General features: G+C 39.4%; 1 protein-coding gene across 10 annotated transcripts in view; it reads right to left on the reverse strand.

Moving 5' to 3' along the window:
* Positions 1-11,350, reverse strand: part of CNRIP1 (cannabinoid receptor interacting protein 1) — a 35,779-nt gene extending 24,429 nt beyond the window's left edge. For 2 of the 10 annotated variants that reach the window (NM_001111101.2, NM_015463.3), the window contains exons 1-2: positions 10,623-11,350; positions 8,558-8,708 (exon numbers count right to left, since the gene is read on the reverse strand). In NM_001111101.2, coding sequence (NP_001104571.1) covers positions 8,558-8,708; positions 10,623-10,801 — 330 coding nt within the window. In that variant the 5' untranslated portion in view covers positions 10,802-11,350. Of the gene's footprint in view, positions 1-8,557; positions 8,719-10,622 lie in introns of all 10 variants that reach the window. The other 8 variants (NR_163970.1, NR_163971.1, NM_001371607.1 and 5 more) reach the window with 8 other exon arrangements.
* Positions 11,351-15,323: the final 3,973 nt, after the last annotated feature.

Consider the following 15,323-nt stretch of genomic DNA (forward strand, 5'->3'; position numbering starts at 1 on the left):
TTTTACAAAGAATTTAAGAAGGTATTTAGCATTTTATATAAAATGAAAAAACACACATAATGATGGTCTGAAATATAAGCATATTAAACATAATGCTTGGTTTGAGCTTAGATTTGATGCTGGGCTGTCTGGTTGCTGGTGCAAAAATTAAAAAAACACAGATTGTCAATTATCAGTGATTTTAATGTTTTTGCAGAACTTTTTTTTTCTACCCAATAAGACAGCACATGACTAGATGAACAAGAGAGATGCCTGCCTCTCCCCACCCCTTTCAGTGAGCACTGAAATATCTCAGGTGGATCCAGAATTCAGAAAACAGTCCGAAAAAGGAGTTAAATCATCTCATCATTAGAAGGGAGAGAAATATTCTCAGTTTCCCAGAAGAAAAAAAAGTTAAAAAGCCTTTCTAGCTCTAATTTGTAACAAAACAAAACAAAAATAAAAATGAAAACACTCCACATGAAACATTTAGGGCATTTAGCTGTGAGCTGTTTTTACACACAGCTATTTCTTAGAGCAAACTTTCATAACCTTTGAAAGCCCAGTGTCAATGTGCAACTCAGTTAAAGTGCTTCTAAACTTGTTTAAGGGTGTTGTTTTTGATGGCTTAACTGGTCTATCAGTAGCATTTAATATTTCTAGAGGTCTAAAAATACATTTTAAAATTCTGTAGAAATGGATGTTTTCCTCAGAAAAACATAATAGTCACTCAATAAAACCCCCAAAAGGCAAAAGTCATGTGCTAAATTGAGAATTCAAGACATTCCTTCTAAATATCTTTATTTTTGGTCCTGACTTTTATGGGAAATTTCTGTCAGACTTTCAAGTAACAGTTAAGTTCTATGGTATGTAAATTGTTTCAGAGCATAAACTATAAAAAAGTTCCTAATTCACTTCACAAAGCTATTAACCCTAATACCAAAATTTAAGACTGCAAAGGCCTTCTAATTGTTCTTTGCTTTTCTGTCTCCACTTCTAATCTAAGCACTGGCACTAGAGTGCTTTTAAGGTGCCTATCTTATCACATTACCAGAAAGGGGTACTTCTCAACCCCTTGAAAGACTGGCAGGAGAAAATGACAGCCCTATCTGTTGGAAGTGGCAGAAGACAGCATCAGGACTGGCAGAGAAGCTGGAAATAACCTAGAAAAATCCTGGAAGAAAGAGATCTGCAGAAGGAATAGAACCCCAAATCTGACTATAAACTCTGCTGTAATCCCTAGCTAACTGCATATGAAGGATAGTGGGACATGGACACCCTACAGGGGCCATTGAAAAAGCAGACAAACCAGCAAAAAGTCAATCCTTGAAAGATAAAGTTGTGCTAAGATTAATAGCTTCTTTATATTTACGTATGTATGTATGTATGTATGTATGTATGCATGCATGTATTTTGAGTACATTCCCTAACCTCAGAAGTAGGTATCAGAGTAAAGAGTTTTGGATTGGCCAGGCACGGTGGCTCACTCCTGTAATCCCAGCACTTTGGGAGGCCGAGGCAGGTGGATCACTTGAGGTCAGGAGTTCGAGACCAGCGTGGCCAACATGGTGAAACCCTGTCTCTAATAAAAATACAAAAATTAGCCAGGTGTGGTGGCACGCGCCTGTAGCCCCAGCTACTCTGGCGGCTGAGGCAGGAGAATCGCTTGAACCTGGGAGGTGGAGGCTGCAGTGAGCTGAGATCGCACCACTGCATTCCAGCCTGGGCAACAAAAGTGAAACTCCATCTCAAATAAAGCAAAACAGTTTTGGATTGATAGAGCAGCTGGAGAAATAGGGGAACCTCAGGGTGGGTATATCCAAAAATCTCAGTATAAGCTCTCCAGTTCCTTGGCTGACTGCTAAGCTCCATGGGCACAAAAGGAGACCAGGCTAGAAAAGCAGCAACTGGAAGTTATAAAAACTGAGCAAAGAGATCAGCTGCTGCATACTGCTGGAAGATAGAATTTGAAGTTTGAGTACAGGAATGTTTACTGCCAGCTAGAATACAAAAAACCAGTAATACCCAGAAGAATAAAGCAGAAACTAGAGTTGGTAATAAACTATCCACAATGTTAAGTTTGTGGCCAAAAATTACGAGACATGTAATGAAACATGAAAGTGTGACCCATATTAAAAAAAAAAAAAGTCAGGCTGTAATAATTTACTCTAACTAGAGCCAGGTGTTGGATTTATTAACTACTTCAAACCAGCAATTACAAATGTGCTCAGATAAATTAAGGAAAACATGGTCTCAATTAGCCAACATAAGGAATCTTGAGAAACTGAAACTATAAAAAAGACAAATGAAAATTCTAGAGCTAAAAAATGTTATAGAATTTAGAAGATAAGCACAAGACTAGAAATAGAAGAATCAGTGAACTTAAGGATACATCAGTAGAAATGATCTAATCTGAAGATCCATTAAAAAAAGAAAGAAAATTGAACATGTCCTCAAAGACTTATGGGATAATACCAAGCTTTTCAACATATGTTTAGTTGGGGTCCTACAAAGAAAGGAGAGAATGAAGTATTAAAAAAGTATTTAACAAAACAATGGTTAATAATACTCCAATTTTGGTGAAAACATTAACCTCTAGATTCAAGAAATTCAGTGATCCCCAAGGGGGGAAAAACCAGTTAAGATGCATCATAACCAAACTACTGACAAGCAGAAAGAACTCTATGAAGGGATCATTTTACTGTATATGTATTATACTTAAGTTAAAATATTTCAAAGCAAACAAGGGAAGGGAATAAATATAGGATTAGAAAACAATGAAGTAGAAAAACAGAGTGAAGCATGTGAAAAAAAAAGCTAGGATTTTGAAAAGGCCAATAAAACTGAAATCTCTAGCTAGACTAATCAGAGGGTATAAAAATAAAAATTTTGAATAACAAGAGTGAAAGAGTAGGTCGGGCGCGGCAGCTCATACCTGTAATCTGAGCCCTTTGAGAGGACAAGGTGGGCGGATCTTGTGAGGCCAGGAGTTCGAGACCAGCCTGGCCAACATGGCAAAAGCCCATCTCTACTAAAAATACAAAAAATTAGCTGGGTATGGTGGTGCGCACCTGTAATCCCAGCTACTTGGGAGGCCGAGGCAGGAGAATTGCCTGAATCTGGGAGGCAGAAGTTTCAGTAAACCGAGATTGCACCACTGCACTCCAGCCTGAGAGACAGAGTGAGACTCCATCTCCGGGGAAAAAAAAAAAAAAAAAAAAAAAGAAAAGGATCAAAGAGTAAAAGAGTAGACATTATTAGAGATCCTAAGACACTGAAGAATGGCGGAGATTATAAACAACTTTATGGGAATAAAGTTGAAAATTTAATTGAAATAAATGACTTCTAAGATAAATTACAAAAACTCAGGAAATAAAACCTGAATAGCCCGATATCTATTAACGAAATTGAATTTGTAATAAAAAATCTTCAAATAAAGTATAATCTATGCCTTCATTGGTGAATTCTGACATTAAGAAAAATATCATTTCTATATAAACTCTTCCAGAAAATAGAAGAATGAACACTTTCCGAATCATTTTATGTAGCCAGCATTACTCTGATACCCAAAACTAGACAAAGGCATTATAAGAAAAGCAAACCATAGACAAATATCCCCCCCGGAACATAGATGTCAAAAATCCTTAACAAAATATTAATGAATCAAATCCAGTTTTACATACCGAGAATAAACCATGACCAGTGGTATTTAACCTGGGAATTCAAGGTTATTTTAACTTTGAAAAAGCAAGGTAATCTACCATAAACAGAATAAAACACCTTATGATCATTTCAAAAGATACAGAAAAACTATTTGAAAACATGTTATAATACGTTCATGATTAAAAAAACATTCAGTAAACCAGGAATAGAAGAGAACTCCTTTAACCTGATAAAAAGATTTACAATAAAGAACCTTACAGCTACTATACTTTGTATTGAAAAACAGAATGCTTTCTCTCTCAGACTGAGGGACAAGAATGTCCACTCTCACCATTTCTATTTAGCAGCATACTGCGAAGGTCCTAGCCATTGCAATTAGGCCATAAATAAAATGAATACAGATTGGAAAGAAAAGAGAAACTATTTACAGATGACATGATAGCATATTTAGAAAATCCTAGGGATCCTCCAAAAACAGCTATTAGGATTAGTGAGATTAGCTAAGTCTCAGGATTCAATATCAATATACAAAAAAAATCGATTTTATTTCCATATACCAGCAAAGATTCCATTTACATTATTCAAAAATATGAAATAATAAATTTAACAAAATATGTATAAAGTCTGTAGAGGAAATACTGTAATATATTGTGGAGAAAATTAAAGATGACCTAAGAGATATTTCATGTTCATGGTATAGAAAACTCTATATTAAGATGTCAAATATCTTTAAGTTGACCTATAGGTTTAATGGAAACTCTATATCCCAATTTTTGGAGGAATTGACAAGCTCATTCTAAAATCTATATAAAACACAAAGGACCTAGATTAAGCAAAAGAACTTAGAATAAACAAAGCTAGAAGATTTATGCTACCTGTTTTAAGGACTACAATATAGATCAAACAAGATTGTTTTGGGTCTTCTATGTCTTTGGAATTTCCAAATTAAAAAGACATACATTGAGTATGTAAAGCAACTAGAATTCTCATACACTGCTGGTGGATATACAAAATGGTACAACAGTGTGGATATTTCTTACACAGATAAACACATACTTACCATGTGATTTAGCAATTGTCCTCTTAGGTATTTACTCAAGAGAAATGAAAATATGTTCACACTGAGACTTATACTCAAATGTTCACAGCAGCTTTATTCATAATAGCAAAAGCTGAAAACAACCCAGATGTCCATTTATTGGTAAAGGGAGAAATTATGGTATATCCACACAACATAATATGCTACCCAGAAATAAAATGAACCAACTACTGATATGTGCAACATAGGTGAATCTCAACATTATACTAAGTGAAAGAAGTCAAACAGCACTGTTCCATTTACATGAAATTCTTACATAGTTAAAACTAACATATTGAGATGGCAAGCTCAGGATAGGTTAGGTTGGGAGGAATTAACTGCAAATAATTTTCAGGGTAATAGAAGTGTTCTGTTATCTTTATTGGGGTGGTGATTATATAGTAGCATCTACTTGTCAAAACCTATGTAACTGTAAAGTTGGTGCATTTTATGTTAATCATATCTCAAAGCTGATTTCAAAAACTTCAATGATTTCCTATAGTCATTAGGATAAATCCAGTGGCAAAAAGGTTCTATATCATCCAACCCCTACTTACCTCTCTGGCTTTATCTTATACTGTCTTTGCCTCACTCTATGCCCACCATGTTGGGCTTCTCATCCATTAGAATACATACGCTGTCTCCAGCTCTTGACTTTTACAACTACTCTTTCCTCAAATGCTCTTTCTTTCCTCAACTCTTATTCATCCTTCATTTTTTCCTCAAGAAAACCATCCCGCAAATCTTGGACTAGGATAAGACCCTTGGTATATACTCTAACAGCACTACTTTTTTGCTATACTTTTCATATTAGCAATTATTTACCTTATCATTGATAATCATGTATAAAGTATGTTTCCACCCTCAAGATCAGAAATTCTATGAAACCCGGGTTATCTATTTTGTTCACCACTCTTCCCCCTGAGTCCCTGATATACAGGAAATCCTCAAATATTTGCTGATAAAGCAAGCAAATTTTAAAAATCTAAAAATTCTAAATAAAAGAGCATATAGAATTTAGCAATATATTAATAATACATGTTTAAGTAGGGCTTATTGTAAAAAATAAGGTTTAGTATTTGGAAGTGTATTACTTTATGTAATTCATCAAATATATCAAATAAGATAAATTATCTCCAACTACTGCTACTAGCTGTAGTTGACTGCTAGCAGCAGTCAACATTATTCTAGAAACATTAGACAATGCAATATGACCAGGAAAAAAAAAGACAGTTATATTCAGATTCTGACCATCTATATGAAAAACCCAAGATGATTTGCTGAAAAATTTTAGTAAGCAAGTTCAGTAAGGTGGTCAGTTACAAAGTATATGAATACATATTATAAAAACAGTGTATCTAAAACAATGCAGTATTGGTGTAACAATAGATAGATCAATGGAATAGATTAGGGAGTATAGGAGGAGATAAAATTTTTGCAATATAAGAAATTTCTATGAAACTGACCTTTGGAGAAGCATAGATTATTTAAATAATTGTATTAGGACACTGTGGGCAAATACTTTCCAATATAAAAGTAAGAACTGAAATAATATCTAAATCTGTAATTCATCTAAAATTTAACAAATGAGACCATAAGAGTTCAGATGAAAATACACAAATGCCACTGTGTATATGTCTATATATAATTAATTAATCTGGGAGTCAAGGAAGACTTTCTAAGCTGGATCTTAACTGCAAAATAATAAAGGAAAAGGCTAACATGTTTGACTACAAAATTTATATTTTATATTGTAAACAAAATAAAAATTAAAATATTAAATGAACACTCAAGATGTGATAAAAATGACGATTTTAAATTTATAAAGATTTTTCAAAAAATCAATAAGATACACTTAAGCAGAAAAATGGGTGAAAACTATGAACATATAATCCATGAAGCAAATACAAATAGTAAATGAATATGTCAGGATTTCAAATTAACAGTAAGTAAAAATTGAAGTATTTCAGTCAGATTAAAAATATGTAAACATGACAAACTATACCTAGTGCAGAGAGAAATGGATACTTAAATACAGATGATAGGCGTGTAAATTGCCTAGCTTTTCTGGAGGTCAGTGAGGCAGTCTTATAAAATGCCTTAACGTGCACATTTCTTCTAGAAATCAAGAAAACATTAGACAATTGTACAGTACTCAGTGATTTGTAATGTGGTTTTGTTTATAATACCGAAAACCAGAAATAATCAGCAATAAGTGACTGAGGATAATTTGATACATTCATAAAATACAATACCCATACAGACTTTAAAATGACATTCCATATATATATATGGGCATATATTTGACATTGAAAGATGTATACAAGTAGAAAAAAGTATATATATGGAATGATACTCAAATATATATATTTAATGACAGGGTCTTACTCTTGTCACCGAGGCTGGAGTGCAGTGGTGTGATCATAGCTCACTGCAGCCTCAACCTCCTGGATCCAAGTGATCCTCCTGCCTCAGCCTCCCAAGTTGCTGGCACTACAGGTGTGGTATCACCACACCCGGTTAACTAAAAAAAATTTTTTTAGAGACAGGGTCCCACTATGTTGCCCAGGCTCACACATATATATTCAAAGACATAGAAACAACTTTCTAAGAACATTTATTGACATGTTAACAACACTTCTCTCTTGCAGGAATTATACATTTCCCTCATTTTTGTATTTTTCTGTGTTGAAGGTTCTTTGACAGAACAAGAGCACTTTCTAAAAATAGTTCAAACATTGGATGCAAAGGGATGAGCTGCTAGATTATTTCCTTATGTGACTATTGTGGTTTTAAAAAGTATAATGGGGACTGGGAACACTTTAAGTTTCCAAAGGTTAGATAGGCATTTCTCAAAGTGCATTCCCACACCATCCTCTTCAGGATCTGGTATGCTTGCTAAGAGTTTCTCTGTCCCCACCCTAGCTCTACTGAGCTAAGATCACTGGAGAGGGAACCTAGGACTGGAATTTTAAACAAACTCCCAAAGAGATTCTCACGCATACCGATATTTGAGAACCCTTGTGATACTTCCTATAAAGCTAGAGGGCAGACAGTTGAAGGTTGTTCTTGCAGAGGGAAAAGGCTGCCCAGTTTGCAAGCAGCAGTTTAGGTGAAGCTTCCTTTTCCTGTGCTTTAGCAAGCTTGCTTCATCACCTATTTATTATGTTTGCACATATAGTTAAATCTATGTCTTGACTCTATCCTTTCTACCAATTTGTTTTTTCTTACTTGGGGCCATATTACCAGGGTATATCATTTTATTATATATGATATCTGATAGGATTACCAGATATTATATATAATAGGTATATATAATATAGGTATATATATATTATATAGGTGTATATATAATAGGTATATATTATATAAAATAGGTGTATTATAGGATATTATATAAGAGGTGTATTTTTCCCATGACACTTTTTTTGGCTCCTCCATTTAGCTTTAAGTAGCAAAGTGTCATTCAAATCAGCTTTCTCTTAACCAGAATATTGTGGCCTACTTGGAATCAGAAACTTTTCACAGCCAATTATCTAAACCAGTTCTGAAGTAGACTATAACTGGGAAAATGGCAATGTAGGTTCTGTCTCTTCCAGAACCATCTGCTTCTGCTTATGGTGTCTTTTCAGCATCTACAGGGTCAGTCTGTCATGCAAAAGAGCATTAATTAAGTAGTTCTCTCTCCAGCAGATGCTTGAAGGAAATCCACAACTCAATTTCCACAGTAATTGGCTCCCAACACACCTTTTCTTACAGAGAGATAGTGATTGTTTTCTTTTCTGTGGTTTCCATTTTCCATGGCACCATACTCCTATACCCGCAAGCAAGCCTTACCGGCATGGTGATCTGGATGGGTTGCCGTTCTCCACTCTTCGTTGGGGTCACACCTTCTGTGTCATATGTACCCGTATAAACAACTCTGTCCCCATCAGGCTCTTTAGACTTCAGTTCCAGTGGGACAAGCACACCACCAATGGAAATATTCCTGCAATAGACTTGAGTTGACCACATACGGTTGAAATTAGCCTAGGCACCCTGTCCTGTTTTGGACCAAAACTCTAGGCAGGAAACTTACAGGGTTTCACTAAGGGGGGCATTGTGGTGCGGGAGAAAGTTCTGCAAGTTCAGGGGGCAGTGCTTCTCCTATTTATGAATTAAAAACCTACCTATCCCCAGCCCCAGACATTAGGATTCAGTTGGCCTGGGATGTAGTTTGGACACTGGTACATTTATTTTAAGGTTATCTAGGTGATCTTAATATGCAGGTAGGATTGAGAATACTGAACTCGTCCTCTAATATTTTTTTTCTCCTGTTCCAACAATCAGGGGTCCTATGATTTGGAGTACCTCAAGCCTTCTACACCATCAGAAATTCTCACTGGCATCATTCTTTTGTGTTAGGATAATGGTTCTCAAAGCCAAGTCCCTGGACCAGCAGTATCAGCATCACCTGCAGACCTTAGAAAACAAATTCTTAGGCCCTACCATAGACTAAACTAGAACTTCTAGGGAGAGCTCCAGCATCTGTGTTTTAACAAGCACTCCAGGTGATTCTGATATATACTCAGGTTTGAGAACCACAGGATTAGAGTTGAGAAATCCTTGATAGCATTAAAATGTAACCAGAAAAAATAGTTTTATTCCTAACAAATTAACTTTTAGATTAGTTTGAACACTAGAGGAATACTCTAAAAAAAAAAAAAAGAAATATATTAACAGATAACTCCGGGGATAAGGTTGGCAGGAAAGAAGGGAAAGGAAAAGCCTGGATTATATCCAGGTGCACAGAACACTGGGAAATGTGAGAATAAAGGGTGCATGGAGCTGTGGGGGATGCTGACAAATAGATGAATCAGGAGTACCAGAAACCATCCAGATTTGGTTCTAGGTCCTTGCACCTTGGAAGGCTAATACAAGTTTACTGAATTAAAACGTAAGCTATAAGTAGTATCTGATGAATTCAAAGTCCTTCCACCCCCGCAATAATGCCCACCATATGTAGTAGATACAATAAATGCTGGTTTATTTTCTCTCTGCAGACTAGACTTTGGTAGGTAGAAACGAGAGGTAAAGGGGCTCCACCCGCAGTTCTTCCGGGTAGGCTACTGCATGCTCCCACACACTTTCCCGCCAGAGGTCTACTGGGTGCATTATCCAGCGGTCGCTGGCAAGAAATCGTCCCTGCCATGGATAAACCAAAAAACATCCTCTTGCTGTGGGGATGTTGCTAATCCCAGGCACCATCACCAGCCTGAACAGAAAACTCAGGAGAAAAAGAACAGCATACGGCATGGAAAACCGTGAAACTAGGCCAGAGAAGGGGCGGCCGCTCTCTTACTAGTGTCTGCTGCTCCACCCCAGGGTCCCAGCCACTGAATGGCGAAGGGAGTGGGGAGCATCCCTCAGGGAGCCCCAGTAATCACCCCTCCCCTGCCTTTCCACCTCATTCCTCCTTTCTCCCTCCTTCAGCCTTGCGGGCAGACCCTGTGGGCCGCCTGGACCGCGCGCAGGAGGGCTGGGATTGCGGTGGCTGAACCCTGCGGACCTCTCCCATCTGCTCCACCCCGACCGCCTGCGGTTCCGCGCCCAAGGCTGGACAGAAGGCAGGAGAAATTTATAAGAAACAGACAAGCAAAAACCCTGGCTTCTTGTCACTGATTTTAAAGAACCCACTGAGGTCACTGCGATGGGTGGAGGGAAGCGAGAATGGAGGAATACAAGCCAAAGGGAAGGAAGGGGACGAAGGCGGACAGGGAGTGACCTCTTCCTCCAACCCCCGGGCCCGCTGGGAGCGGCGCGAGGCCAGAGGCCCTTGAGAGGCTCGGGCTGTCCTGGGGGCCTCAGTCCTCTGCCTGTACCCCATGGGGGACCCTGCTGCCACCAGGCGCCCCGCACTCACTCGACCTGCAGCGTGCTGGGTTTAATCTTCACCTCAACCTTGTAGGAGGAGCCGGTGAGCAGCTTGATGGTGCGGTTCTGGCCGAAGCGCTGCCCGTCCACCTTGTAAAAGACCGGGCCGTCATTAGGCTGGATGCGCAGCGCGATGGAGAGGCGCACGAGGCCCGGCAGGTCCCCCATGTCTGGGCGAGGGTCTGGCGCGGCGGCTCCGGGGGGCGGAGGACAGCGCCGGCTGCGGCCGAGTGGCTGGAGCGCGAGGGGCGGAGAGGAAGCGCGGGGAGGGTGAGGGAGGTGGTGGAGCTGAGGCTGCCGCTAGGAACCCGCGCCGTCGCCGCCGTCCGCCCGGGCTTTTGAGGAGCAGCTCCTTAGGCTGTGGCCCCCCTCCCCACTCGGCGAGGAAGCGGGCCCAAGAGACGGCTCCAAGGCCGCGCGCTTCCCCATCCCCCGCTCCAGTGCTGCGCCCTCCACGCACCCGAAGGCTCGCTCTGGCCCGCAGGCCGCCGCGCAGATCCGCGCAGCTGGGGGCGAGGGAGTTAATCCTGTTTACGCACCACAATCCCCTTCAGCTGGGGAAGCGGACATTTAGGCTCCTCCTAGAACAGCCCCGGGCAGGAGGAGGAGAGGTTTGGGAGGCACTGGGAAGGCGCTGGAGTTAAGCGACCACTATGCCAAGGAGCGAGACCCCCGGAATCTGGATACCGCCTCGGCCAGCTACGTGAGGTGGACACTGCTGCTCGCGGATCCGGCGCCAGCCAGGCGGGAGGAGGCTGAGGGGGGGTAAAGGGAGGCGGGAAGGGGGGACAGGAAACCGCTAGCCGGTGATTTAAATTTCAGGAAATATGAGTCTTTCCAAAGCTTAGGGGAAATGGCCGAGGAAAGGCGCAATTCCACGTGATGGAGCCACGCTGGATGAGGAATGGATGCAAGAGGAAGAAAATAACCATATTCAAGGAGCTACATCTTCTTGTGGGTGTACATTTCCATTATACGTATGCTCGTCCCAAAAATGACACATACATAAATATATGTAATGAATCACATATATTTACACAGATTTTGAAGGGTGAGCTATTAACCCTGTAAAAGGCAACTGACATGAGCCTAAGGCATTCTGGTGACAAAATGGCCAAGAGGTGGGATGGGTCAAAGGATTATTGGCAGGGGGCCATATGCGACACCGCAGAGTTTAGATTTGCATATTAAGCGTGATTAGACAGTTTTCGTGGCAGAGGTCGGTAGACAGCTGACTTTTGGAAGCGAGGGGAGACTCAGGGGGTGAGGACTATACTGGGAATGGCTTCCCGGAGCAGAGAGAGCACCTGCTTCAGCACCACCCAGATGGATAGTACCAGAGCCAGGGAGCACACCTGGGAAATGAAGTGGGCTAGTGAGAACAAATGGGTAGGGATGCGTTTCCTTGGCAGTTTTTGTTTACCCAAGTTAGACTGCTCTTTTTTAAGAAATAATAAGCTATACATATAATATATATGTAATATGGGTGTTTATTGCAACATTGGTTGCAAAAATAAAAATAAAACCTAAATGAAATGTTAACCAATAAATAAATGGCTGAATAAATTCTTATATACCCACACTATAGAACGTTACACAACTATCAAAATAATGAAATATAGGTTGCATTGGCAAACACACAGGCAAAAACTGTTAATGATAAAAGTGGGATGGCTGGGAAACAAAGCCTGAGGGCGAGCATTTTGTCTGTTTTGTTTGTTGCTGTTTCCCCAGCATGCCAAAATAGTGCCTGACACATAGTAGGTGCTCCAGAAATCGTTGTTGAATTGACTTACGGTTGTGGTCTTAATCATGTCCATATGTAAATTCTTTCACATCTTTAAAATTAATTAGATCCTTGCGATTTACCTGGAATGATGAAAAGAAATCTAATTGCAAGTAGCATCTCTAGTGTTTTAGAAAAATGAAAATTTAAAAAGAATATAAATGTGTATGTTTGTATTAGCTCTTTTAAAAGAATGAGAGAGTTACACAGTAAACTTAATGTTGGTTATTATGGTTTATGAGTAGTGGAAAGAGGGTGAGTATCTTTTTGGGGTCATTTAAAAGCCTTTTTGGAAATTTTGCCTTTTTTCCTCAACCTTTTGTTTAGCAACCCCACAATCTCAAGCCAACTTCCACCTGTGTATCAAAAAGAGCATTGGACCTGGAGGATGATGACTCCATTTTAAAACCTGGTTCTAAGGCCGGCATGGTGGCTCATGCCTGGAATCCCAGCACTTTGGGAGACCAAGGAGGGCAGATCATTTGAGGCCAGGAGTTCAAGACCAGCCTCGCCAAAATGGCAAAACCTGTCTCTACTAAAAATACAAAAAATTAGCCAGGCGTGGTGGCGCATGCCTGTAGTCCCAGCTACTTGGGAGGCTGAGGCATGAGAATCGCTTGAGCTGGGGAGGCAGAGCTTATAGTGAGCCGAGATCATGCCACTGCACTCCAGTCTGGGCAACAAAGTGAGACTCCATCTGAAAAAAAAAAAAAAAACCCACACAAAAACAAAAACAAAAACTCTGGTTCTAGCCTGGCTAGGTAGTGCACTCTTGCAGTCCCCACTACTTGGGAGGCTAAGGTGGGAAGATCACTTAAGCCGACGAGTTTGAGGCCAGTATGGACAAAATAGTAAGACTGCCATCTCATAAATAAATAAAATAAAAAAAACCTAACTCTGCCACTTTTTAGTTTCGTTATGCAAATAACTTAACATCTTTATGTTTCATCTTTGTAAAATGAGGATTAAAATACCTCCTTCCCAACATTGTGAGAATTGAATGAGGAAATGGAAATTGTTTGAAAAAAATAAATTACTTTTCAAATACGAGGTGTTACTAATGCTGGGCAATATCCATTAGGAATAGCATTTTCAGGACCATACAATGTAATGTCTTAAAATGAAATTAATAAATGTAAAAGTAATTGGAAAATTTATCATCACTGATACATATGTGCAAAGAATATGAATATGGAGTCTGATGGATCTGTGTTTGTGTTGCCAGATCTGTGGATTACAAACTGAGTGACCTTGAGCAAAGCTGCTTTAGTCTCTTGGAGCCCCAGTTTCTTCATTTGTAAAATGATGATGGTGACATAGATGATGCATATAGAACCAAATGAAATTGTGTAAACTATGCAAGAATATCAGGCCCATAGAGACACTCAATACATTGTAACTATTTTTATTTAAAAATATACTTGCTGAATATGTAGCAACTTTTAGTTTAGATTCAGGTTTGTTACTGGAGCGTATTGCATGATGCTGAGGTTTGGAGTAGAAATGATCCCATCATCCAAGTCCTCAGTGTCTATTGTTACCAATGGAATGAAGACTACTAGCCAGGGAGGGAGGGAGACAAGTAAGGGTTGAAAAACTGTTTTATGTCCATGGGTACCCAATGGTTAGCACCCACTAAAAATGAGAACATGCGGTATTTGGCTTTTTTTTCCTGCATTAATTCATTTCTTGCTATATATTTTTAAGGTATCTAGTGCTTTCAGTCTTATTGTAGATTCTTTAATTATTACCTCAGATTGGTGATCTTAAACATTGTCTGTCTAATGGACAATGCTTATTATCATTCTTTTGAAAACTGTGAAATTGAGCCCAAGTGAACGATGGACTTAGTTGTCATTCAGAGGAATCACATGCTATGGTTCAAACGATTCTCCTGCCTCAGCCTCCCAGCTGCTTGTGTTCCCCCAAAATGGCTATGTTGAAACCGAATCCACAAAGCAATAGTATTAAGAAGTGGGTTCTTTTGGAGGTGATTAGGTCATAAGGGCTCTTCTGCCCACGTGAATGGGATTAGTAGTACCCTTGTAAAAGGGGCTTGAGGGAGGTCGTTTGCCCCCTTCTACCATGTATGGATGCAGCGGGAATTTGCCATCTATAAAGCAAACAGTGAACCCTCACCAGATACCAAATTTGCTGGTGCCTTGACCTTAGACTTCCAAGCCTCCAGAATCGTAAGCAATAAATTTCTGTTGTTTATAAATTATCCAGGCTAAGATATTTTGTTATAACAGCATGAACAGACTAAGACATTGTGCTAACAACCGTTCCATATTCGCTGTTCCAGTCTCTGCTGAATTCATAATATAGAGTTCAAAAACAGTTAGAATTATGACACAGGACATAGTTGTGTGCATGTATATGAAAATAACGTAGTTAAGAGTGCTGGGACTGGGTTATACACATACATATGTATACACTCAATTATGTCATGTGTCATAATGTGTCCTGGGCTTGGGTTATACACACACACAAACACATATACACAATATAATACCAGCACATTTAACAATGTATTTTCCTTTGTATTCATGTTTGCATTCAGGTACAGTTTAACATCTGCAGGAGTTATTTCTTATTTTTATTCTTAAATTAGTGTCAATGATTTATGAGGTGCTTGACTCCTTCCCTTTGCCTACCTCAGAATGTCTTAGCATTAGAGATCTTAACTGGTACATTTTACATTTTATTTTATTTTATTTTACTTTTATTTTTGAGATGGAGTCTAGCTCTGTCACCCATGTTGGAGAGCAGTGGTGCAATCACAGCTCACTGCAACCTCTGCCTCCCAGGTTCAAGCAATTCTTATGCCTCAGCCTTCTGAGTAGCTGGGATTATAGATACGTGCCACCATGCCCAGCTAATTTTTTTTGTATGTTTTAAAGC

Source organism: Homo sapiens, chromosome 2, assembly GCF_000001405.40.
Source record: "Homo sapiens chromosome 2, GRCh38.p14 Primary Assembly".
Classification (NCBI taxonomy): Eukaryota; Metazoa; Chordata; class Mammalia; order Primates; family Hominidae; genus Homo; species Homo sapiens.